This window comes from Homo sapiens, chromosome 15, assembly GCF_000001405.40.
Source record: "Homo sapiens chromosome 15, GRCh38.p14 Primary Assembly".
In the NCBI taxonomy this organism is placed as follows: domain Eukaryota; kingdom Metazoa; phylum Chordata; class Mammalia; order Primates; family Hominidae; genus Homo; species Homo sapiens.
The window spans coordinates 99,392,258-99,418,146 of NC_000015.10; the positions used below are offsets into that span (position 1 = coordinate 99,392,258).

Consider the following 25,889-nt stretch of genomic DNA (forward strand, 5'->3'; position numbering starts at 1 on the left):
TGTAGAAAACAGTGGGATGATGTATTCCAAGTGCTGAAAGTGAATGACTATCAAATAAGCATTCTATTTCCAGCAAAACTATCCTTCAGAAATGATTAGGACATGCCCAGATAAACAAAAACAGAATTTATTAGCAAGGCTGCTCTACAAGAAAAACAGAGAACTTAAAGGCTGAAACGAAAAGATAATAGTAACTCAAATGCACATGAAGAAATAGCACTGGTAAAGGTAGTTATATTGGTAAATATAAAAGGCAGTACAAATGCATTTTTGGTAACTTTCCTCCTATCTGATTTGAGGCAACTGCATAAAACAATAATTAAAAATCTGGGCATAAGGTGAAAAAACAATTTGTATGACAACATTACAAAGGAAGGAGGAGGGAAGAGACTTAGGAAGAAAATTTTTCTATACTGTTGAAGTTAGCATTATTCCAAACTAGGTTGTTATAAATTGAAATGTTAATAATCCTCAGGAAAAACACTAAGAACATAGCTAGAGAATATATAGTAAAAGCTACAACAAAGAAAATGGTACACTAGAAAATAGCTGCTAACAAAAGAAGATATGGAAGTAACAGAGGAATAAAGGAACAAAAAAGACAAAAGACATAGAAAGCAAAAAATCTGGTCACAGTGGCTCATGCCTATAATCCCAGCACTTTGGGAGGCTGAAGCAGGAGGATTGCTTGAGCCTGGGGAGTTCAAGGCCAGCATGGACAACATAGTGAGGCCTTGTCTCTATTAAAAAAAAAAAAAAAGAAAAAAATTAGCAAAATGGCAGACTAAACCCTGCCTTATCAGTAATTGGCATTAAGCATAAATGGATTAAACACTCAAAAGGCAAAGATGGTAGAATGGATAAAAATCATGGTCCAACTATATGCTGCCCACTAAGAAACACTTTAGATTCAATGACACAAGTAGGCTGAAAGTAAAAGGATGAAAAAAACACATGTAAACTGTAAGGAAAAAGCTTGAGTGGATATAACATCAGACAAAACAGACTTTAAGATAAAAATTGTTAGTAGAGACAAAGACATTACATAATAAAAGGGACAATCCATCAAGAAGGCATAATTTTAATCGTTGAAATTATACAAAACACGTTCTCTGACCACAATGGGATGAAATTTAAAATTGGAAGAAAATTTGGGAAACCTAAAAAAATGTGGAAATTAAACAGTACATTCCTTTTAACCAATGGGTCAAAGAAAAGAATCACAAGGGAAATTACAAAGTCCCTTAAGAGAGTAATGAAAATAACAGAACATACCAGAACTTATGAGATGCAGCTAAACCATCACTTAAAGGACCATGTATAGCTATAAATGTCTCTGTTAAAAGCTTCAAATCAATAACCTAGCTCTAAACCTTCAGAAACTAGAAAATAATAGCAAACTAAACCTAAAGCAAGCAGAACAAAGAAATAATATGGATTAGAATCAAAATAAATGAAATAGAGGATAGAAAGAAAAACAGAGAAAATCAAACCAAAAGCTGGTTCTTAGAAAAAGTCAATAAAGTTGACAAACCCTTAGGCAGCCTAGAAAGAAAAACAGAGAAAATCAAACCGAAAGCTGGTTCTTAGAAAAAGTCAATAAAGTTGACACACCCTTAGGCAGCCTAGAAAAAAAAATAGAGAAGATAGATTACCAAAGTCAGGAATGAAAGACTACTACCAATCTTATGGAAATAAAAATAAGAGTTCATATGACAACAAATTAGGGAACTTAGATGACATGGACAAATTTCTAGAAAGACATATCAAAACTGAAGAAGAAATAAAAACTTTAAATAGATCCAAACAAGAGATTAAATTAATGAGTAATCAAAAAACTTCCCACAGCCAGGCATGGTGGCTCACACATGTAATGCCAGCTACTTGGGAGGCTGAAGCAGGAGGATGGCTTTAGGCCAGAAGTTTAAGACCAGCCTGGGCAACATAGTGAGACCTTGTCTCTAAAAAAAAATAAATTAAAAAAAAATAGGTGTGGTGGTGCACACCTGCAGTCCCAGCTACTTGGGAGGCTGAGGTGGAAGTATCCCTTAAGCCCACAAGTTCAAGGCTGTAGTGAGCTATTGTCACACCACTGCACTCCAGCCTGGGTGAGAGTGAGACTCCCATCTCTTAAAAACAAACTTCCCACGGGAAAAAGTCCAGGAGCAGATGTCTTCACTGGTGAATTCTGTCAAACATTTACAGAATACCACCAATTATTCACAAACACCAAAAAACAGAGAAGGAGGATACCCTTCCCAATTCAGTATCACCCACATTAGAAATCAGGCAAAGAAAACAACTACAGGCCAATAGCCCTCAATATAGAGGCAAAAATCCTCAACAAAATACTAATGAAAGTAAATCCAGCAACATATAGAAAGGAATGTACACCATAAGCAAGTGAGATTTATCTTAGGAATACAAACTTCAACATACAGAAATCAATGTAGTACACCATATTATTAGAATAAAGGACAAAAACAACAAGATCATCTCAATGCATACAGAAGAAGCATTTAACATTTGGCAAAATCCAAAACTCTTAGATGAAAACATTCAAAAAGCCAAACATGGACTTTTTCATCCTGAGAAAGGACATCTATGAAAAACCCGTAGCTGATATGTTGATGCAAAATACTGTAAGCCTTCCCCCCCAGAGATCACAAATAAGACAAGGATGTTCTGTCTCATCACTTCTATTCAATCTTGTACTGGAGGTTGTAGCCAAAGCAGTAGGCAAGATGAAATAAAAAGCATCCAAATTGGAAAGGAAGAAGTAAAACAATTTGCAGATGACATGATCTTGTATGTAGAAAATATTAAGGGATTCACACCAACATATTACTAGAGCTAATAAACTAGTTCAATGAGGTTGCAGGATACAAGATTAATATACAAACATCATTGGTTTTTATACATTAGCAATGAACAACACAAAAAATTCCATTTACAACAGCATCACAAAGAATACTTGGATTTAACATCATTAAAAACCAAAGATAATTTGAATAAATATAAAGAAATTTCGTGTTCACAGATTGGGAGATAATATTGCTAAGATATCAATATTCAATGTCAAATTGAACTCCTATTTCATACCGTAGGCAAAATTTGCTGCAAATGGATGACAGACCTAAAAGTAAGAATGAAAATAAACTCTTAGAAGAAAATGTGGATGTAAACCTTTATGACATTGGACTAAACATTTGATTATTTGATATAACACTAAAAGCACAAGCAACCAAAGAAAAAATAGACAAATTGTATTTCATTAAAATTAAAAATGTGTGCCTAAAGGACACTATCAAGAAAGTGAAAAGACAACTCACAGAATGGGAAAAATTGTCCAAATTATATATCTGATAAGGGTCTAGTATTTCGAATATATAAAGAATTCTTACAATTCAAAAAGAAAAAAAATTCAAAGAAAAAATGGTCAAAGGATTTGAATAAACATTTTTCCAAAGAAGATATGCAAATGTCCAAAAGCACATGGAAAGATCTCAATATCATTAGTCATTAGGAAAATGCAAATCAAAACCATGAGATACCATTCCACACACACTAAGATGGCTATAAACAAATAGGTGGAGAATAATAAGCCTTGACAAGAATGGATAAATTGAAACTTTCATACATACTGGTGGGAATGTGTGAACTATGCAGGCTGGCTCAGTCTGGCAGTGCCTCAGAAGGTTAAACAGAGTTACCACATGACCAGTAATTCCACTTCTAGGCACACATCCACACAAAAACTAGTGCATGAATGTTCATAATGGCCAAAAAGTGCCCATCAATGGATGAATGGATGAATCAAATCTAGTATATCCATATGATGGAATATTATTTAGCCATAAAGAGGAATGGGTTAGTGACACATGCCACAACATGGATGAACCTTGAAAACATGACATGAAAATGAAATGAAAGGAGCCAGCCACAAAAGATCACATGTATGATTCCATTAGTATGCAATGTCCAGAATAAGAAATCCCTAGGGACAGAAAGTAGATGGTGGCCAGGAGTTGAGGGGAGAAGAAAATGGGTACTAACTGCTAATGGGTATGGAGTTTCTTTTGGGGCAATGAAAATGGTCTGGAATTAGATAGCAGTGATAGTTGCACAACCTTGTGAATGTACCGAAAACCATTGAATTGAGGTAAAATTCAGTGTATGGTATATAATATCTCCATTTAAAAAAATCAAAGCTAGTGATGCAACTTACTTTACATATCTGTTAGTACATTTTTTGGATAGACCGACACTCCTTCCAGAAGCCAGGGAACTGCTGTCGCTGTGGCTGTAAAACAGATGAAAGCAGTACTAACAGCTCATCTGGTTTCAGATTCTGTTCTTGCTGGTTAACATCATCAGGCCAAAACTGCAGTAATTTTAAATTTTCACTTGGAGAGTCTTCCAACTCACTTAATCTATCGATCAAACAATTACCATCCTAGTGAGCGCTCCTCAAGGACTGAAACCTGCTGAAAGTAAGACACCATGAAATTAATGTGTTTGAACATAAAATCAAACGGAAAATTCTGTAAAGTACTAGGAAGTACTCCTCTGTAAAGCATTTGGATGCCATATTTGCTTTTTTCCTCAGTTTCCAATGCTGTGTTGGTACCATTCTTTAGAACAAAAATGTACAGGAAGGAATTATCTACCAAAGGTCCTCCTACAACTTGCTGGTGCCTGGCACTGACCTGCACCGTTAGATTTATTGACTGAAGAATTACACCCTCTTTGATGGTACGCAGTTTAATTCAATAGATCAAAGCTACGTCTAGATTTTAAATAAATGATAGGGATTTAAAATTGTATATAAAAAACGTCATTATATCTTGCTTTCTTTGGGTATGTATTCTTTAATTGAGCAGGCAAAGAATTTTAAGAGAAAAATATAAAATGCAGCTATAATATTATTAATCTGATCTTGCTATTTGAAAGAATCTAGGTCAGTTATGTTTTGAGCTATTACTGTTGAATCCTGTGCATATAATCTTTTTTCTTCTCTTTTCTTTTCTTTATTTCTTTTTATTTTGAGATCGAGTCTCTCTCTGTCTCCCAGGCTGGAGTGCAGAGGCGCGATCTTGGCTCACTGCAACCTCCTCCTCCCGGGTTCAAGTGATTCTCCTGCCTCAGCCTCCCGAGTAGCCGAGAATACAGGTACATGCCACCACACCCAGCTAATTTTTGTATTTTTAGTAGAGACAGGGTTTCGCCATGTTGGCCAGGCTGGTCTTGAACGCCTGGCCTCGTCCTCCCAAAGTGCTGGAATTACAGGATTGACTACCCTAAAAGGGAAGACCTGATCTTTTTTTTTTAAGTACAGAAGTGTACTTTAATCCCAGTCTCCTTCCAGGAATTCTCTATCCATGTAGTATTTTTTATAGTTTCTAAATCATATTGAAATAGCCTTTTTCTAATTACAAAAGTAATACTGCAGGCTAAAGAAACGCATGACGTAAAAGCTTGAAATTTAATTAATCCCCTCTCTTTTGATGAATATTTGCCTATCTTTTCATTCTTTTGTATGAATCCTACACATACATATGTGGTCTGACTTAAATGGCATCTTTCTATGCAGTTTTATAACCTGCTTTCTTCACTTATTATGAAAATCTATATCAACAGACATAGATGTACATAATCACTGCATAGTATTACATGTCTACTGGCCAGATGCAGTGGCCCATGCCTATAATCCCAGCACCTTTGCCGAGGTGGGCAGATCACATGAGGTCAGGAGTTCGAGACCAGCCTGGCCAACATGGCGAAACCTCTTCTCTACTAAAAATACAAAAATTAGCTGGGTGTGGTGGCAGGTGCCTGTAGTTCCAGCTACTCAAGAAGCTGCGGCAGGAGAATTGCTTGAACCGGGGAGGTGGAGGTTGCAGTGAGCCAAGATCGTGCCATTGCACTCCAGCCTGGGTGACAGAGTGAGACTTCATCTCAAAAAAACAAAAAAGTATTACATGTCTAACAATATCATTTAATATAATTTATATGTATATGTATATTTAATATATTTTTAAACCTAAGTCTTTTTCTTTCTATTGTATTTGAAAATATCAATTTCTTCCAGTTTCTTCCTCTGTGACTTTATTTGAGCAAGCAGATGGAAGATTAATTCTTTTACAAGCAAGTACTAAATTGCTACTACTTTTATAAACACACATGATCAGTTCAGTTCTTTTCAACCAGGGCAATCTTGGAAAACGTTATCTTTTTTTTTTTTTTTTTGAGTCTCACTTTGTCGCCCAGGCTGCAGTGCAATGGCACGATGTCAGCTGACTGCAACCTCTGCCTCCGGTTCAAGCGATTCTCCTGCCTCAGCCTCCCGAGTAGCTGGGATTACAGGTGCACGCCACCACACCCAGCTAATTTTTTGTATGTTTTTCAGTAGAGATGGGGTTTCGCCATGTTGGCCAGGCTGGTCTCGAACTCCTGATCTCAGGTTATCTGCCCGCCTCAGCCTCCCAATTTGCTGGGATTACAGGTGTGAGCCACCGTGCCTGGCCCAGAGAATGTTATCTCTTCATTTAATGTAAGATTCATGTATGATGAGGCTTGGAATAGGATTTCATTCCAAACGTGTTTTATTTGTGTGACTGTCTGGTGGGCCATGGCCACGCGGTCTTCATTAGGTTTCCCTGAACCATCTCCATTTGACGTATTATGTAAAAGCAGCAACAACAAAACAAGCTGGAGTTTCATCAATTAAGCTTTTGCTTGATATTAAATTCACAGCATTGCTTTACATCAGATTCATGGCCAGAGTATTAATAGTTGGCCTGTTGATCTGGGGTCACTACAAAAATAAGCTGTGGGATGCAGCTTTAGTTAAAATGAACAGCTCACAGAAAGAGCTGTGTGAACACCGAGAAAATGGCATCGGGAAGACGAGTGTGGCAGCAGGGGTCCTTGTGTCAGCTGCAGAAGAGCGAGCCGCACCCTTTGGGGAGTTTTTGTGGCCAAGAAACTCTGCAGACTTAGGAAGTGTGAAGAGTAAAGAGACTGGAGAAAAGAGAAAAGAAGAGAGTGGTGGGGGTTGGGGGAGATGATGAAATACCACTGCTTTAGGAACAAGGCATTACTTACAAATAAGCATAATTTTACCAGTGCCTATGTTTGCTCTGAAAGAAAATCCAAATTTAAGGAAAGAAATGTTATGGTGTCTCACACCTATAATCCCAGCACTTTAGGAGGCTGAGGCGGGTGGATCACTTGAGGTCAGAGTTCGAGACCAGCCTGAACAATATAGTGAAACCTCATCTCTACTAAAAATACAAAAATTAGTCAAGTATGGTGGTGCATGCCTGTAATCCCAGCTACTTGGGAGGCTGAGGCAGAAGAATCGCTTGAACCCAGGAGGTGGAGGTTGCAGTGAGCTGAGATCGCGTCATTGCACTCCAGCCTGGGCAACAAGAGCAAAACTCCATCTCAAAAAAAAAGAAAAAAGAAATGTTATGAATTGGTAACATCAGTCACATTCCTACAACTTGCTGGTGCCTGGCACTGACCCGCAGCAGCCTCTGAGATTACTAATAGGCTGAGTGTAGGAGTAGCCTGGACCATGTCTCCATGGGTGTGGGGGATAGCTCTTCTGAAGAAAGACTTAGGCTCAGTATTTAGGAAACCTGAAATGAAAGTGAGCCCACCTCTGTTTACCTTGTAGGAAGCTGAGCTAAGTGAGCAGCTGAAGATGAAGGGAAGCCCAGAGGTTTTGCAGGTCACCAGAAAAGCCCTAATTGAAGGAGGTACTATACAAATTTAGAAGAAATGGTGCGTGATTGTTTACAAAAGGTTCCTGAATTTTCAGTGTTTGGCAGAGGAGGAGACATGGAGAAATACTGAAACTCCTGCTAAAGGTAAACATGAAAAAGTGAGATTAAAGAGCAGAATCATCTGATGTCACAAATATCAAAAGAAAGCAAGAAATAACTTGATTTTTGCCTGTGCCTGTGGCCACCTCAAGGAGTTGTCTTCGCACGCCACTTTCCTTTGGGACAGTCTTGCCCAGTCCCATATCTTTGCGTGATCTCATTGATGTATCTGAATTGGCAAACCTATCTCAGAGGACATGGAAAATTCCTCAAATAGAATTCATCATGCCTCACCCCAACTCACCCTCAGGTTTCTCCAAGAAGCCCTCTCAGCCCCTTTGCCAAACCTGTAGCAAGCAAATATAGATGATTCCTACTTGAGATCACTTCCTCTACTTCTATTAGATGGTTTCCATTATTTTATTTAATTTAATTTAATTTAGAGACGGAGTCTAGCTCTGTTGCCCAGGCTGGAGTGCAGTGGCTCAATCTCGGCTCGCTGCAACCTTCACCTCCTGGGTTCAAGTGATTCTCCTGCCTCAGCCTCCCGAGTAGCTGGGATTACAGGTGCACACCACCACGCCTGGCTAATTTTTTGTATTTTTTTAGTAGACACGGCGTTTTACCATGTTGACCAGGCTGGTCTCAAACTCCTGACCTCAGATGATCTGCCTGCCTCGGCCTCCCAAAGTAATGGGATTACAGGCATGAGCCACCGTGCCTGGCCAGTTCCCATTATTTTTATATTAATATTTTAGTCATCTTCATCAGGAGTTGTGGTGGCCATAATTTGCAAACTACATTTTCCACATTACCAGTATAAAACAGTCTTTATTCTACTTATATAGAAAGACCCAGGAAAATCTGAGAGTTTCATTTGGACCACTTTCATGTCACATTTTTCACTAGAGTCTTAAAGGTCCATCACAGCTCGAGCATTCATTTGAAAATATGCCATCCGGGACCTCACTTTGGTCACCCGAGTTTCTGAGGAGATGCACACTTCAAAGCATGAATTAAACGGCTGCTTTCTATTTTAACCTGCAGCTTCCTCATAACAAACCTTTTTAATGGTACTGTATTAATCCATTTTCATGCTGCTGATCAAGACATACCTGAGACTGGGCAATTTACAAAAGAAAGAGGTTTATTGGACTTACAGTTCCACGTGGCTGGAGAGGCCTCACAATCATGGCGGAAGGTGAAAGGTATGTCTCACATGGCAGCAGACAAGAGAAGAGAACTTGTGCCCGGCAACTCCCCCTTATATAATCAGATCTCGTGAGATGTAGTCATTATCACAAGAGTAGCATGGGAAAGACCTGCCTCCATGATTCAATCACCTCCCACTGGGTTCCTCCCATGACATGTGGGAATTGTGGGAGTTACAATTCAAGATGAGATTTTGGTGTGGACACAGCCAAACCATATCAGGTACTTTTACTATCCAAAGTAATACACAAAGCAGTCACCACTAAGTGATATCCTGGTTCCTCTGAATAAAAGAAACAAAATCCAAACAAGACTGAAAGCTAGGAAGTGAGCCCACCCAGACCGGCAAAACCAGGAACTGAAAAATCACTCCAGGCCCGTCACATTTGTAAAGTGCTTTTAAAAGTTCTCCTCCCAACCCCGGCTCACTTTGTACTTAGGAAAAAGGAATTCAAGGTATAAATTGAATAAATAGATATGATAGTGATGACGTGTGTAAAAGCAAACCGTTCATACTTTTAGACTTGTGAAGTCAATTCTGTCGCTATGTTTTGGCCTATATAGAGGTTTAAGAATATTCAGACATGTTATCTGTTACATGAAATTATCATTTCACTTCTAAAAATACTCTTCTGCTACTAATTCAATTTAAACAATGCAGCAGGAAAGCTTAATTAAGCTTTCTAGGTTGTTAAAACTCTGCTTCCAGAAAAATATACTATTCTTAGAGTCTCACAGTCAAATAGCAAGAAACAACTAATATATTATCAGTCAAGAAATGTTGGTCCCTTTCTTGTGCTTAGCACAGAGCCCAAGCTAAGAGATTTTTAACTTAGTAAAGCCTGAGAGTGGGCAGCTGGAGAGGACTTTGCTCTGCTGGCAATGTCAGCCTCGGGAGAGGGAAATTGACAAGAGGCCAAATTCCTCCAGGAAATTTGGGACTAGTTGAAACCATCCTACCCCTCCTCACCTTGATGATGGTGATTGATAAGTTTTAATCTTTCAGCACCTGGTGTTAACAAGGCAGGCTTCACAGCACCAAAACAACAACAAAGAAAAACCTAAAACATCATTTACAGATTGGCAGCCTGATCCGGAGCCTGCAGAGGGAGGAGAGAGTAGCGAGGGAGGGGAGGGAGAAACTTGACTCTGTTTTCCAGACGCTGTGAGGAGAAAATCCAGCCTGCTGAAAAGCCACAGGACACATGAAGACGGTGAGGTGTTTGCTGGCTGGGTGGAAAGAGGCCTGCAGGCAGGGCCGGCCTACCTGTGAGTGGATTCGAAGGCAGCGTCCCCCAGACGTGCGGCCAGGAACAGCACCTCATTCCTGGGCACAGCGCTTGGTGAAGATGCTGGTAAACCCCACTGGGCTCCAGCCCCTCTTCTCTGCCAGGCCCCCAGTGCGGAGCAGGGCACAAACGGGCTTGCCAGTCTGCAGAGGAACAGTCTACAATGACAAACAATCCCAATTCAGAGAAAACGAAGGCTTTCCAATGGCCTAACCACCAACCAGAGCTGTATAGCGACACAGCAAAGAATCGCTGTCTCTCCCAGCCTGGCCAATATGGCGAAACCCCGTCTCTACCAAAAAATACAAAAATTAGCCAGGCATGGTGGTGCATGCCTGTAATCCCAGCTACTCAGGAGGCTGAGGCAGGAGAGTCGCTTGAACCTGGGAAGAGGAGGTTGCAGTGAGCCGAGATCGCGCCACTGCACTCCAGCCTGGGCAACAGGGCCAGACCCTGTCACAAAAAAATAAACAAATAAAAAGAATTACTATCTCTCCTGTGCAGTCCTGGGTGGGGGCAGATACTTTTGCCCACATTTATTACAAGAGAAAAGTGATACCAAAGGAAATTTAGAAGATGTAGCGAGGGTCTCACAGCCTCGTTGTAAAAGAGTTGAGGCTAAAACTGTATCATTCATTCATGTATTCGCAGGACACCCCTTCAAAGGGCAGGCGCTGTGCTGGGCTCTGGGACTCGTGGGTGAACTGCACAGAGCTGGGCCCTGCCTTCAGGGAAAGAAGACAATAAGCAAAACATACCCAAAGAGATGGTTACAAAGACAGCGAGCACCCGGAAGGAAAATGGAAGCTGCCAGGAAAGGGGCTCCTGGGCCTACTCACCAGGAAGTCCAGTCCTCACCAGCCCGGAGGCCTGGTCTGCATCCTCAGCCTCACAGAAGCTCAACCAGTCACTTAAAACGAGATTGCAGTGATGTTTTACAACTCTGTGAACGCACTAATAGCCACTGAATTCTACACTAACGTGTGCATTTTATGGTACGTAAATGACACAAAACAAAAGGAAAAGGCTACCAGCTCTCCTTTCTCCCCAGCCCTAACCTCCACACCCATGCCTTTGTCGCCAGGGAGCCACCACCTGCCCCCAACATGACTCACACTGCACTGACTCTTCCCCCTGACTAACTTCCCAGTCCAGAAGGTTTCCACAGTTGGCCAACCCTGGCCCACGAGTATTTCTCGAACCGCCCACCTCAGCCCCTACCATCCATCGGCAAACCCCCGAGGGCTCTGGGTCAGTGGCTCACAGCACGGGCACTGCCACCCAGGGAGCATTCAGACCTTTGTGGGGGGCGCTTTCGGTTGTCACGTGACTCCAGGGCACTGCCAACAGAGGTGGGTGGGAGAGGATGCAGGACAGCGTCTTACAACAAATCCTGGTGTCCCACAGGCCTTTAGAACACCTCATCCACTTCTGTCCAGATCAGTCTGGTCTGCTGTGATCCCTCCTGCTACTCCATTCTTGTATTAACCTGTTCCTCTACTCTTTGTTTTCATGAATCTCTTATACAGAATGGCTTCTGATCCTCTTATTTTCTTAAATTCAAAATTGCCCCTCCTATCTAGCTGCCAGCAACCGATTCCTTTGCTGTCTATGAAGAAGGAGCAGGGCACTCTACAAACACCGGGATCACCATGTGGCTCGGACCATGAGCTAGTGGGGACCTGGACCCCCATCTTCCAGCCAGAGGGGCTGCCTCTGAGCTCGGCCTCATCTGGGACAAGTGGTTTCTTTGCAGCTTTCCTGGGCTAGGGTCTCCAGTTGCCAGACAACTGGCATTCCCAGACAACTCCCAGAAACAGCTGGCACCAGCAGCCAGATTTCCTGGCACCCTGCAGTGTGGGTATTCCCGCTGTGATGGGGCCACTTTCTCATGTGGGCCCTACAAACAGGGAGAGTGACAGAGGCGGGGAGCCTCCCGTGGGACATCTGTTGGCCAGCTCCCCACGCCACTGCTCTGCTCTCTGTGGGATGTAGGAGGCTGGGGGGCCCACCTCCTGTCTCTTGCTGATGCTGACTTTGTAAGGGTCCACATCCTCCGGTAAGGCCTGCTCCCTACCGGGGCCAGCGGCGGCACGGAGTCCAGCCTGAGCCTGTGAACGTGCCGCCCTTTGCGTATTCTTGGCCCTAGGGGTCAGATGCCTTTGGACCCCCTCACTCCCGCCGGTCAGCAGCGAGCTCTCCCTCTCTCACTCTTAGAAAATGTTTTATTTGTAGTTCTCTAACGATGTAGGTCACTTCCTTCCTTACATAAAACAGTCCCCTTTCTCCCACTGCAGTACTTTCCATGCAATCTATGACAAGTGCATGCAGGAGGGGAGTTCAGGTCTCATCATTCTAGAAATATTTAACATGTACCTAAGGTCTTATACTAGATACCACTTTGGGGCCCCGCAGAGATACTGTTAAAGAAAAATTATTCCGAGGTAGTCGTTAAAGTGCGGTAAGGAAGACTATTCAGGACCATCAGGATAGCTACAGGGACTGCTGCGACGGGCTTATACAGTGGGGAGGGGAGATTGGGTCGGCTCTGAATACGGTTCGGGCAAGGGGGAACTGACAGCCAAAGATCAGGGTAGGGGCAGTGGATGGAAAATTCCTGAGAGGAAACATCAGGAGAAAGGGGGATTTGGGGAATCCGGAGCAAATGGACCTCACAGGATTCTTGCAGAAGACAGGCCAGAGGGAGCAGACCCCACCCGGGGGATGGTGGAGAGGGAAGAGCTGGATCAGATATCGAGGGTGATCAGGTACAAATGGTAGGGGGTTCTTGCTCAACGGACTCAGCAGGGTTCTTGTTAAAACTGGATTTTACAAGGAAATGCAAAGATGAGCCTAGGAGAAGGCCCAGGAATCTGACTAAAGTTTGGTCAAGCAAAGGATCTATGTCAATTCCTACAGATCAAACACAGTCCCTGCCTTTGAGAAGTTCATAATGTATTCATGTGTAGCCACTGGAGTACGAAGACATTAGTAGGAAAGGAGAATGGAGGGAGGGAAGAGGCAACACTTATAATCCAACAAGGATAAATGCCACCCTGTCCAAACCCACTACTGGGTCCAGTCAAGGATTTTGTGATGTGGCGACTGGAGCGGGCAGTGGGCCCAGCCATTCTCCCTGGAGCTCCCCCCTTGCAGGCTTGATGGGGGGCCCCTGGAATGTCCCCTCAAGACTTCTCTCTGCTGCAGGACGGAAGAAGTCTCACTGCGGAGGAAGAGGCAGGCTCCGTGATGGTCTCTCAGGTCCCCGATTTCTACTTTCTTAGACAGGAGTGCTGCATCTGGATGGCATGGCAGAGGGAAGCCCCAGCTGCCACTGCTCCAGGGACCCTTATAGTTCCACGGTGATGGGGAACAGAAAGAGGCTCTTCCAGGAAACAGCCTTGGGGACAAGGAGACCACACTTCTGGGTGATTCGAAGATCAGACAAGGCTCCTGTAAAATGAACGAATGAAGTGAATGAATGAGACGGTAAGTCAAGTGAAATGAAAGGTGTGGGTGTGGGCTTTGGGCTCTCCACCCTCTTACCATTCCACAGTGTGCCTTCCTTACAGGGAAGGGGGACGATGTCCCCGGGGCTTTACTCTTTGGCAAATATCACCATTTCCAGCCAAGGCGCCCTGGGCGAGCTGTGGTTAAGTAACTGAACATGGCGTGGTCAGGGCACACAGGACACCTGTGTTCACAACTGGAAAATGAGAAAGCAGAGATATGACTTTGTCAGGATAAGGACCACGCACCTCCCGAACTAGGCGGCTCTTGCAGGTGTGAAATGGTGACAACAACGTGTCTTCTTGCTCATAAAAATAATTCTCGAGCCAGGCATGGTAGCTCAAGCCAGTAATCCCAGCACTTTGGGAGGCCAAGGCGGGCAGATGACCTGAGGTCAGGAGTTCGAAACCAGCCTGACCAACATGGAGAAACCCCATCTCTACTAAAAATACAAAATTAGCCGGGCATGATGGCACATGCTACCAGTCCCAGCTACTTGGGAGGCCGAGGCGGGGAGAATTGCTTGAACCTGGGAGGCGGAGGTTGTGGTGAGCCGAGATCGCGCCATTGCACTCCAGCCTGGGCAACAAGAGTGAAACTCAGTCTCAATAATAATAATAATAATAATAATAATAATAATAATAATAATAATAATAATTCTCATCCCTAAAAACGCTTCAACCAAACAAAAACCTTTCCCGGTTCTGAGCCATTCAGTTGGCCTTTCCAGAGCCAAAAGTTTGTGGCAAGAATTCTGGTCCTTGCTCTAAAAGCAGTGGCCAGTCTTCCAGGTGCACCCACGTAGCCCCGTCAGGCTTTCTGTGCTCCCTGCCAGCTGCTGCTCTGGAGCTAGGATGTGCCAGGGTTAGCATCTTAAAAATAAAGATTTCTTCCAGCTGAAGATCAAAAATAGACTTGGTGAGAGTTTTTCAGATGAGAAAGAGGAGAAGAGCAGATTCTCTAAAAAACTGGTCCCGATTCTTACCCAAACCCAAGCTAGAGAGCTGTGTGTGCCCATAAACTCAAGTCCCCCTTCTCAGCCTCTCAGAGTCCACCCGTAGCCTGAAATCAGGCCCGTCCCCACCTCGTGCCCATCATGGTGCTGCACATTCCTCTGAGGAAGCTCTCGGTTCATCCAGGTGGACAGTCGGGACCAGAGCGACAAAGAAGCCTGCAAAGCCAGGTGCAGCAGGGCTGGGTGGGCACGGCACGGACCGAGCTTGCTCTTCCCTCCCGTCCCAGCCAGGCACGCTGTCTGCGTGGTCCTGGCCTGGGTCCTTACCAATCAACAGACATGAATGGAAGTCCATCTGACACTGATACCCTGCCCAAATTGGTTGCCATTGCCTCTTTGCTGTGCTGGGACCTTGGGCAACACAAGGGCTGAGGGTGATGAGCTGAAAGCTGCTGCTTCCAGCCTTCGGGCAGGTAGGGCTCAGACAGAGGAGCTGGTGGATTCTGCCTAGGGGCTCCACCAAGACCTTTTGAGGGCTGCTCCCCAACACCTGCCCTGGGCCTCACGTGCCTGAAAGGTTTTATCTGCCTGGGGAACCTGCATGTATTAAGTAACAGCTACTTTACTGTCCCATTTTTCTTGATAATCAAAGCACGTGTATCTTTGCACACAGCCTCAGGTCAGGCTGGAGGGTCTCTGGGTTGTCATAAATCCCACCTAAGGCAGGTGTGCTGGGCCTGCGGCATGGGCACGTGTCTGCCTCCATGGGGTGCTCCCCGGACCCTGCTTCCCATTTGCAGACCTCTCGAGCCCTGGACTCAGATTCAGAAGGGCTGGGCTTTGAGGACCTAGCCCTGCAGCCAGAGAACCACAGAAGCTGCTGTGGCAGCGCTGAGACTTCCTGTAGGCTGATGAGGCTGACTCTGGAGGTGATGGTCCCCAAGTCCTAGTCACTGGCACCACCACATTCTGCTGCCCCTGAAGTCCAGAGCCACCTTTGCCCTGGAGGGGACACAGCTTTGCAGCTAGATGGCATGTGTTTGCCCCCAGCCCTGCCATGCCCCTCATCCTCTCTAAGCCTCATTTCCTGATCTTATAAAGGGAAACGACGAAGAGATTCTCCTCGGATTTTTTTAAGGAATAATGAAATGTGCCTGGTATATGACAAGGCCTCAAAAGGAAAGCTTCTCCCCATTCCCTGCCATCCCCCAAACTCTGCCCACTCCCTCCTGCCCACTCCCTCCCTCTCTTGGGCGTGGCTCAGTATTTATCTTCATTCCCTGGAGCTGAGTTGGTTGGAGGGAGAGGGGTGCTGTAGGAAAGCCCTCCTCCTGTCCCCAGAGAGATAGCATTCCCGAGGGGCTGATTCCAGCCTCCGCTCGCATCACACTCCTGCCAAGCCTGCGGCCTCCTTTTTTCTCCTTATGGCTCAGAGCCCAGTTTTGGAGACATTTGGCTCTGATGCACTTCTAAGTGCTGAGACAAGTTACTTGGATGCCTTTAAACCCAAAACAAGGTCAGACATCAAACCACATCTCGCTGTGCAGCCAGGCTTCCACTCCCAGCTGCCCCAGGGAGGTGGTGGAAAGAATAAACAGTATTAATGGTGGAGCTAATATTGTGCCCACCCAGGCTCCAGGCCCTTCACCAGCTGCAGCCACTCTTGCTGATGGTAGTCTGGGGTCTCTCTGTTTATTTGCTATATGTTTGCACTCGTAAATGTTGCGCATCTTATATAGTATGGTTTTGTGGGCATTGCACGGATAATATTGTTCTTCAACTGTGCTTTCACTAACTTGGCATTGCTGAGATGAGGCCCTGTGGATAAGTTTTGTGCATGGTTCCCCTGAGCTCCTGGCTGCCGCCTGTCCTCCCCAGAAATGGCCAGCATTTGCTGACTCTGAGGCAGTGTCTGGCCAAGGAGTGCCTTTCCTTCCAGAGCACAACACGATCACTTTAATGATAATGTCACTTAAAGATATAAAAAAACAAGGCACATTTGCCTGATTTGAAGCTGAGAGCATATTCCGTATGCTGGTTTAGGGCTGCAGAAAAGTTTTTGGTGCCAGTGACACATACACAGCACTGTTTCCTGATCTGGGTCATGGTGACGGCCGTGGCACCCTGAAAAGCACCTAGCACCTAATACTGGCAAGGGGTAGAGGGAGCTCCAGAGCCAGGGCTGGGCTGGAGATTGCTGCTCTTCCTGCTCCTCCCGTGTCCCCAGCTGCCAGAGGGAAGCTGCTGCCTTCCTGTTTAAACGCATCTTAAATCTGTGCTCATCAAAAGCATCACCCAGGGCCGGGCACGGTGGCTGACGCCTCTAATCCCAGCACTTTGAGGGGCCGAGGCTGGCGAATCACCCAAGGTCAGGAGTTCAAGACCAGCTTGGCCAACATGGTGAAACCCCGTCTTTACTAAAAATACAAAAAAATTAGCCAGGCATGGTGGCGGGCGTCTGTAATCCCAGCTACTCAGGAGGCTGAGGCAGGAGAATTGCTTGAACCCAGGAGGCGGAGGTTGCAGTGAGCTGAAATCGCGCCACTGCACCCCAGCCTGGGTGACACGAGTGAGACTGTGTGTTAAAAAAAAAAAAAAGGCATCACCCAGAACATGGGCCTGATGGGCACCCTGGATGCCACCCCAGCAGCCACCTGGTGAGCGGGGCCCCACTTAATGGGAGCCCTTCTAGAACAGCTCCATGGTAAATGCCCCCACTGCAAGCTGTAGGTTATGGGCAGGGGACCTCGGTGCCTGCCTGGTGCTGTGTGAGAGGCTGCTGTGCCCATCAGGAACAGAGGTGGGCTGGATGTCAGCCTCCACTGCCCATAACACATCCCTTTCTTCACCTGGGGCTGTTTGTCTGAGATGTGAGTCAAACCTACCCTCAGATGGCTTCATAAATATAAAATTGACAGAGTGGCCTGGTGCAGTCACTGCTCACACCTATAATTCCAGCACTTTGGGAGGCTGAGGCGGGTGGATCACTTGAGGGCAGGAGTTTGAGACCAGCCTGGCCAATATGGTGAAACCCCATCTCTACTAGAAAGAAAATACAAAAATTAGCCTGGTGCGGTGGCACATGCCTGTAATCCTAGCTATTTGGGAGGCTGAGGCAAGAGAATTGCTTGAACCTGGGAGGCGGAGGTTGCAGGGAGCTGAGATCGCACCACTGGACTCCAGGATGGGTGACAGAATGAGACTCTGTCTCAAAAAAAAAAATTAAATAAATAAAAAAAACAAATAAAATAAACCAAAGCTATGGTTTCCCAAGGGTCTCTGAAGACCTAGTCAACCTTGGGGAGGTGGCCCACAACAAAGGGGTTCCATCTCCAGCCATCACCACTCTGCATCAGGTAAGGTGCCAAGTGCAGGCCAGCCGGGATGCATCCTAAAGGAAGGATCCATTTTAGGACACAGCCACCAGCCAGCCTAGCTGCCCAGCCCTAAGGCAAAGGCCCATAGAGTTTGATTTTCTGGTGTTTGACTAATGTCCTCTCGTTTTAGAGCTTGGGTTCCTCTGCTGTTGTCCACCAGCTCCCTCCCCTCTCCCCAGGCCTGCCCCAAGCATCCCTGGGCCAGGGCTGAGCCTGACTGGCCAAGCAGCATCCCACTGTCTTGGGCACTGTGATTGGTGGAGGAATCCAGGCTTGAGCCAGTCAGCACAGGCATTACCCTGGGCCCCAGAGTTGTAGCTCCAGTGGCTTGGAGGTGGGCGTGTGACCTAGTTTGAGACAGCGAGATGTGAAAATGGTTCCTTGCTCTTCAGAGTGAGCCAAGGAAAGAAACACCTCCCTTGTCTCTGGACATCTGGGCGGGTTTGAGGCCTGGGACAGCTGCCACCATTTTGCCACCATGAAGGAAGCCAGACTGAGGATGAAGCTGACACAGTTAATTCGGGGAGACAGAGAATCACTGAGAAATGGGGCCACAGCCCCTGGATGGAGCCAGTCGTGAAGCCCACCCTGAGCCTCGGCATGGAATTTATGTGAGAACAAACTTCCCTGTGGTTTGGCATCTTAGTGTAGGTGGTTTTCTTTGAGCTTAGGTGAGAAAGGGCTGAGGGTCTCTTCAAGGAAACCTCCCTGCAGACTCCCTTTCTGGCAAACACACCTACTCTGAGACTAGTCCAGTGTACCTCGAGGATCAGTATTGCACATTGATGTCACAGGGTGAGTTGCCTGGATTAACAGGCATGTCAAAGGCACCTGCAGCCTTGGCTCTGCCTGTCCTGGATCTCTTTCCAAGTGACCCCCCAAAGACCCTAAGTCGAAGGAGTACAGGCAATGGGCTTTGAGACCAGAGAAGAAGACAGCAAAACCACAGGCATACCTCCAAGGCCAGGATGCCACTCTCTGGTGAGATCAGCTCCCTCATTACAAAGAGAGAGCCTGGATTCACCGCTCCACAATCCCAATGGCTGTGCTTCTCCTTAGAGAGGCCGGAGGGCTCAGAGGTTCAGAGCACTGGGGTACCCAGCTCTGCTGCTTGTTTTCTGACCGAAGGCGTCTGTGCTTCAGTTTCCTCATCTGTAAAATGGGAGTAGTTTCGCCGTCCTAGCGTTGCTGTTAGGATCAGATGAGCTAATTATTCATAAGAAACTTAGGACAATGCTAAACAAAAGCAAGCACACAGTCTAACAGCAGTTATTAGTAGTAGTATAATTCTCATTAGCAATCATTAGTAGCAGTATTCTCATTAGCGATTAGTATTAGCATTATTATTTTCATTCTTGGTAGGAGAGTCAGTTGAGTTAGTTTCTGGCTTTCTTTTTTTCTTTTTCTTTTTTTGAGACAGAGTCTCACTCTGTCGCCAGGCTAGAGTGCAGTGGCGTGATCTCGGCTCACTGCAACCTCTGCTTCCCGGGTTCAAGCGATTCTTCTGCCTCAGCCTCCCAAGTAGCTGGGACTACAGGTGCCCGCCACCACGCCCAGCTAATTTTTGTATTTTTAATAGAGACGGGGTTTCACTATGTTGGCCAGGATGGTATCGATCTCTTGACCTTGTGATCCACCCGCCTCGGCCTCCCAAAGTGCTGGGATAACAGGTGTGAGCCACTGCGCCCGGCCCTTTTTTTTCTTATAATTTTTTTTTTCTTTTTTTTCCTGGGGAATGGAGTCTGAAGCTCTTAGTCAGTGCCCTCCAGCAGCACTGGGAGGTAGATGGATTCTAGAACTCCTAAACATATCAAGATTCCCACACCCGCACGCTGGGCGGATCCCAAGGGCAGGGCAGGCTGAGGTCTAGTGTCTCACCACACCCAGGACAGACCAGTGAGCAGGGCCTCCAGCACCTTGGCCTCATAGAGAAAGCCTGTGACCTCTGCTCTTCCCAAGGAAGAAGCCTAACGATGGCTGAGGTCAAGCTCCCTCCAGCCCAGCATAAGGAGGCCTAGAGCTGAAAGTAAATGAATCCATAGAAACAAAAGCAATGAATCTTCCTTCCAGCGTGTGTTCATGCCCAGCACATGTATACAGATCCTATATGCCATTGCTAATCACGGAGGGCTTCCATGCCCTGAGTACTTGCGTTGGTTTCTTGTTCTGAATGAGTGCCCTTAGGAGATGCCTTGCCTGGAGCCTCATTTTGCTCCAGCACCAAGAAGGGGAGGAGAAGAGTGCTAAGACGAGGAGAGCCACAGAGGCACGGCGGGGCATGGCAGGGCTGCATCAGGCTGCTGAAGGCAGGCAGGACCTCAGGCTGAGAGAAGTCACAAGGACTCGGCACTGGAGGGGACTGCATGGCAGACACCGTCTGGTGTGTTCCTCCAACCGCACTGCCTGGCACCCACCAGGAGTCCAGCTTGGGGAAGAACCCCGGGGAAGGCTGGTGGTCCCTCTCCTGCTGGCCTCCCTATGCCCCTCTCCCCTCCCTGGTCATGGGGTCCAGGCCTGTCCATGTGGCTATGATTGGGGACAGGCTTCAGCACTACGCCAGCTCAGAGCAGGGCCTCAGCCAGCCCATGCCAAGTTCCCAATAAGTCACTTCCACTGAGGACTAACGAGTACCCTCGGCATTTTTCTTGCTCTGGACTCCAGAGGCCACATGGTGATGAAATCATGGACACAGTTTGTTTGTTTGTTTGTTTGTTTTGAGATGGAGTCTCGCTCTGTCGCCCAGGCTGGAGTGCAGTGGCGCCATCTCTGCTCACTGCAAGCTCCGCCTCCCGGGTTCACGCCATTCTCCTGCCTCAGCCTCCCGAGTAGCTGGGACTACAGGCGCCCGCCACCACACCAGGCTAGTTTTTTTCTGTATTTTTTTTAGTAGAGATGGGGTTTCACTGTGTTAGCCAGGATGGTCTCGATCTCCTGACCTCGTGATCTGCCAGCCTCAGCCTCCCAAAGTGCTGGGATTACAGGCGTGAGCCACCGCGCCCGGCCTTTTTTTCTTTTTTTTTTTTTGAGATGGAGTCTCGCTCTTGTTGCCCAGGGTGGAGTTCAATGGCTCAATCTCAGCTCACTGCAACCTCTGCCTCCCAGGTTCAAGCAATTCTCCTGCCTCAGCCTCCCAAGTAGCTGGAATTACAGGTGCCCACCACCATGCCCAGCTAATTTTTGTATTGTTTAGTAGAGACGGGGTTTCACCATGTTCGGCTGGGCTGGTCTAGAACTCCTGACCTCAGGTGATCCACTTACCTTGGCCTCCCAAAGTGCCAGGATTACAGGCGTGAGCCACCACACCCAGCCATGGCCACTTTTTTTGGCGGCAGGAGGGGTGGGGGGGTGATACAGCTAGTGGTAATTATATAAAATTGTTTGCGGTGGTAGAGTTTAAGACAAAAATGCAAATGAAATAAAATGAAGTTTGTTGCATAGAAACACTGAAAACATGGTTATGTCCTTCTACAACCCTATAAGACATACAAACATTGTCAGAAACACCCCCTGGTTCACATTTTAGATTTCATTCATTGATTAATTATTTTTTTTGCCCATTCTCTGTGCAGGAGTTGCACTGTTAGAGATGGTGGCAGCAGTGTGAATCAAATGAAGTCCCTGCTCTCCCGGTTGTGGCCACGTTAGTCCAGCCCAGAAGAGTCTCCAGGGGCCCGAGCATCTGTCCTCACATCAGAACTAGCTTTGGGATTGTGACTTTGGGGTTGCTTTGTTGGCTTCCTTTTCCTGTCAGGCAGCATATAGGGCTGGGGGCTGTCAACCGCACCCTCCCTGAATCTACGTCCATCACGAGTCCCCTTGCAGGGCCTTCTTTTTTTTTGACCCAGCGTCAGTCATGTAACTTGCTTTGGCCAAGTGATGTCAGCAAGTGGGATACAAGCAGAGGTCTGAAAAGTGCTGGCAAACGGGGCTTGCTCGCTCGGCTCTGCCACAGTGTGAGAACGTGCCTCGACTCGCCTGCCGGTGGACAGCACACTTGGAACAGGACTGGTGTCGCCAGCTGCCCCAGCCGAGGCCACCCTAGACCAGCCAGCAGCCAGGACCATGGCCCGGGCGAGTCCAGCCTGCATCACTGGCTGCAGACTCGTGGGCTAAATAATTGCTCATTGCTTCAAGTCACTGAGTTTCAGGGCAGTCCGTCCCATAGCATTATTGTGGCAGTGGTCACTGATGGGGCAGTAGGAGGGCTCCTGTCAGTACCAGGAGCTGTTGGCTCCTGTCAGAAAGGACCTAGTGGTAGCCAGTGTGGACCTGGAACAAGAGAGTGGGCCTTAAAACGAGGATCTCCAGGCACCATGTGGGGCTGAGCCTCATAGGCAGCCATTCCTGAAGCGCAGGAGGTGGTAGGAAATTAGGAGGCAAAGGCATGAGATGCTATGGCAGCTTCCCTGAGCGGGGACGATGGGCACCACTCATCGGTGGGCACCGCAGGGTGAGTCAGTTCCCGGCCCTGCTGCTTGAACTCATCTCCCACAGGCACAGGCTGGCCGTGGGAGTCCGCGGGCCACGTGCAGTCTCCTCATTCCCACCTCCTCCAGGTTTCCTTGCAGCCTCCACCTCCAGGGCTGAGTCATGAGCTCATGGCCCCAGGGAAGGAGAAGCTGGAAAGGCCTAGGACTTCAAGGTCACAGAGCTGTCAGCCCTCTGGGGAACTGCCTTGGTAGAACAGAGTAGCCACCTCACCCAAGGCAGCCCCCAGCCAGGGACGGATCAGCTTGGGGGCGTAAACCTTGGTCCCCTCACCGCAGCTTGGTGCAGCCTGCAGGGCCACCCCAGCTCCGGGGCTCCTGAGACCAGCTTCTCCCTCGGGCCATCCTGCCTGTCCCATTCTGTCCCCTTCCATCAGGGCTGACCCCCAGAGGACACCCTAACAATTCCCTGCAGCCCAGGCTCCACCTCGGTGGGTAGCAGCTTCCCTGAAACCAGTGGTGCTTCTCATTCAGTCCCTGCAGGCTGAGAAGCAGCCTGAAGGATCTCCACTGCTTCCAGGCGAGGCCCCAGGGATCTGCTGAGAATCTGGCTGGTTGGCTTGCCAGGAAACATCACTGTGAGTGTGAAGTGTCCCAGCCTTTGAGGGCCGCACGCCCACTGCCCAGGCAAGGGCTGAATGGGAGCTTCAGAACTCAGGAGATCACAGTGTGGGCGAGCCTAGGCTGCAGGACGGAGCCACAGCAAGGGTGACACAGGTTGCCAGTGCCCTGTGGAGGACACCACAGAACCCCACGGCAGCCCGGGCCTGCCGCGCCTGCACTGTCACCCACTTGGGGTGGAGCATTCTTCTCTGCAACCAGCTATAGGAAATACATAGTCTTATAATCTTTGTCCACCTGAGGAATTACAGATGGTCCCTGGCTCCTGGTGCCTCAATTTATGATTTTTTGACTTTATGATGGTTTGAAATATTGGCAGTTTTGATGAATGTACAGTATTCAATATATCATGTGAGGTATTCAACATTTTATGATAAAATGGGCTTCGTGTGGCATGATTTTGCCCAATTGTAGGCTAACCTGAGTGTTCTGAGCATGTTTAAGGTCCACTAGGCTAAGCTAGGATGTTCGGTAGCTTAGGTGTGTCAAATGCATTTTCAACTTACGATATTTTCAACTTGGAATGGGTTTACCTGGATGCAACCCCCATGTAACTCGAGGAGCACCTGTATGCGTCAATTGCCTTCACCCTCTAACAGGGTGGGTGTGAGGGCTGCCATGTCAGAGAAAGCAGGCCTGGAATGGCGGTCAGAAGAGGATTCTGGAAATTCTGAGGTTTCCTAACAAGGCCCCAGTCATGGCAGGAGGCTCTGAGGGCTCCACTGGGGCCGGAGAGGCTGCTTCCAGGCTCTCTCTGGCGTCCCTTGCTGGGGCTCCAGGCCTTCTCCAGCTGCTGGTGGCAGACCTGGATCACAGGGCTGCTCAGTACAAGGCAGCTGGCTTTTCCCAGAGCAAGGGCTCTGAAGGGGAGGGAACAAGAGAAGGCGGGCAAGGTGGGGGGCACAGGCGTTTTGTAGCCAAATAATCTTGGAAGGGACAGCCCATTACCTTTGCCAGATTCTACTTAGTTGAAGCCAGTCCCTAGGTGACAGGAATCACGAAGGCCATTGGAGAGGCTGCCTGCCCTACGGGATTGCAGAGGGGACGAGGCCCAGCAAAGTCTGTGGAGCTGGAGGATGCCACGCCCATTCAGGACGAAATGCAGAAGGACGCTGCAGAGCCTGCTTCTCTGTTCCTTCGCCTCACTGGGGCAGACCAGCTGCGGCCAGCCTGTGCCCACTCCTCGCGGACCTGGGTACTGCTTCCAGAGATCCTTCAGTCCTGGGAGTTTAATCATTCTGTCCCGGCCTCTTTGCTCCCAGCCCTCCCCTGGCAGTTGCTGCTCTATTGTTCTAGCTCAGTTTTCACTTTTTGCCCTTGCAATGCACAAGGGTTAGCAATTCTTGATGGTACAGTCTCTCTGTTCGAAGAGCTGGGGTGGTTTCTACTTCTAGCTGGACCCTGAGTGATCCTTCAGGCAGGGGTCTCTGCGACTGGAGACATGCTGTGTGCATGAGGTCCCATGTACACTCAGATTGCATCCCCCATCCCTGCCCAGCCCTGAGAGGCAGGCGAGACAGTCCCCCTCTCACCATCTCTGGGGTGGGCCTGGATTTATTGGCTGAAGAATTACACCCTCTTTGATGGTATGCAGTTTAATTCCGTAGATCAAAGCTATGTCTAGATTTTAAATAAATGATAGGGATTTAAAATTGTATATAAAACACAGTCATTGTATCTTGCTTTCTTTGGGTATGTATTCTTTCTTTAATTGAGCAGGCAAAGAATTTTAAGAGAAAAATATAAAATGCAGCTATAGTATTATTAATCTGATCTTGCTATTTGAAAGAATCTAGGTCAGTTATGTTTTGAGCTATTACTGTTGAGTCCTGTGCATTGATTATATAATCTTTTATTATTATTATTATACTTTAAGTTCTAGGGTACATGTGCACAGTGTGCAGGTTTGTTACATATGTATACATGTGCCATGTTGGTGTGCTGCACCCATTAACTCGCCATTTACATTAGGTATATCTCCTAATGCTACCCCTCCCCCCACCCCATGACAGGCCCCGGTGTGTGATGTTCCCCACTCTGTGTCCAAGTGTTCTCATTGTTCAATTCCCATTCCCACCTATGAGTGAGAACATGTGGTGTTTGGTTTTCTGTCCTTGTGATACGTTGCTGAGAATGATGGTTTCCAGCTTCATCCATGTCCCTACAAAGGACATGAACTCATCCTTTTTTATGGCTGCAAAGTATTCCATGGTGTATATATGCCACGTTTTCTTAATCCAGTCTATCATTGATGGACATTTGGGTTGGTTCCAAGTCTTTGCTATTGTGAATAGTGCTGCAATAAACATACGTGTGCATGTGTCTTTATAGCAGCTTGATTTATAATCCTTTGGGTATATACCCAGTAATGGGATGGCTGGGTCAAATGGTATTTCTAGTTCTAGATCCTTGAGGAATTGCCACACTGACTTCCACAATGGTTGAACTAGTTTACAGTCCCACCAACAGTGTAAAAGTGTTCCTATTTCTCCACATCCTCTCCAGTACCTGTTGTTTCCTGACTTTTTAATGATCGCCATTCTAACTGGTGTGAGATGGTATCTCATTGTGATTTTGATTTACGTTTTTGCGATGGCCAGTGATGA

At 46.9% G+C, this 25,889-nt stretch overlaps 2 long non-coding RNA genes across 2 annotated transcripts, besides 4 other annotated features; one reads left to right on the forward strand and one right to left on the reverse strand.

The window, feature by feature from the left end:
* Window positions 1-2,392: 2,392 nt before the first annotated feature.
* On the reverse strand, window positions 2,393-10,161 carry LINC02244 (long intergenic non-protein coding RNA 2244). The gene is made up of 4 exons (NR_187226.1): window positions 10,015-10,161; window positions 8,993-9,095; window positions 4,229-4,487; window positions 2,393-3,136 (listed from the first exon to the last, which is right to left on the reverse strand). It is a non-coding gene; the product is annotated as a long intergenic non-protein coding RNA 2244 (long non-coding RNA).
* On the forward strand, window positions 3,720-24,966 carry LOC105371017 (uncharacterized). Its single transcript, NR_188335.1, has 5 exons — window positions 3,720-5,172; window positions 7,685-7,877; window positions 10,985-11,328; window positions 13,618-13,822; window positions 21,745-24,966. It is a non-coding gene; the product is annotated as an uncharacterized LOC105371017 (long non-coding RNA).
* Window positions 9,837-10,356: an enhancer, noted in NCBI's record as "H3K4me1 hESC enhancer chr15:99942299-99942818 (GRCh37/hg19 assembly coordinates)". NCBI's record gives its function as "activates a minimal SCP1, AML or CMV promoter by ChIP-STARR-seq in primed H9 embryonic stem cells {active_cell/tissue: H9 hESC(primed)}" and the evidence as "EXISTENCE:reporter gene assay evidence [ECO:0000049][PMID:30033119]".
* Window positions 10,357-10,874: an enhancer, noted in NCBI's record as "H3K4me1 hESC enhancer chr15:99942819-99943336 (GRCh37/hg19 assembly coordinates)". NCBI's record gives its function as "activates a minimal SCP1, AML or CMV promoter by ChIP-STARR-seq in primed H9 embryonic stem cells {active_cell/tissue: H9 hESC(primed)}" and the evidence as "EXISTENCE:reporter gene assay evidence [ECO:0000049][PMID:30033119]".
* Window positions 11,831-12,332: an enhancer, noted in NCBI's record as "H3K4me1 hESC enhancer chr15:99944293-99944794 (GRCh37/hg19 assembly coordinates)". NCBI's record gives its function as "activates a minimal SCP1, AML or CMV promoter by ChIP-STARR-seq in naive H9 embryonic stem cells {active_cell/tissue: H9 hESC(naive)}" and the evidence as "EXISTENCE:reporter gene assay evidence [ECO:0000049][PMID:30033119]".
* Window positions 17,187-17,686: an enhancer, noted in NCBI's record as "H3K4me1 hESC enhancer chr15:99949649-99950148 (GRCh37/hg19 assembly coordinates)". NCBI's record gives its function as "activates a minimal SCP1, AML or CMV promoter by ChIP-STARR-seq in naive H9 embryonic stem cells {active_cell/tissue: H9 hESC(naive)}" and the evidence as "EXISTENCE:reporter gene assay evidence [ECO:0000049][PMID:30033119]".
* Window positions 24,967-25,889: the final 923 nt, after the last annotated feature.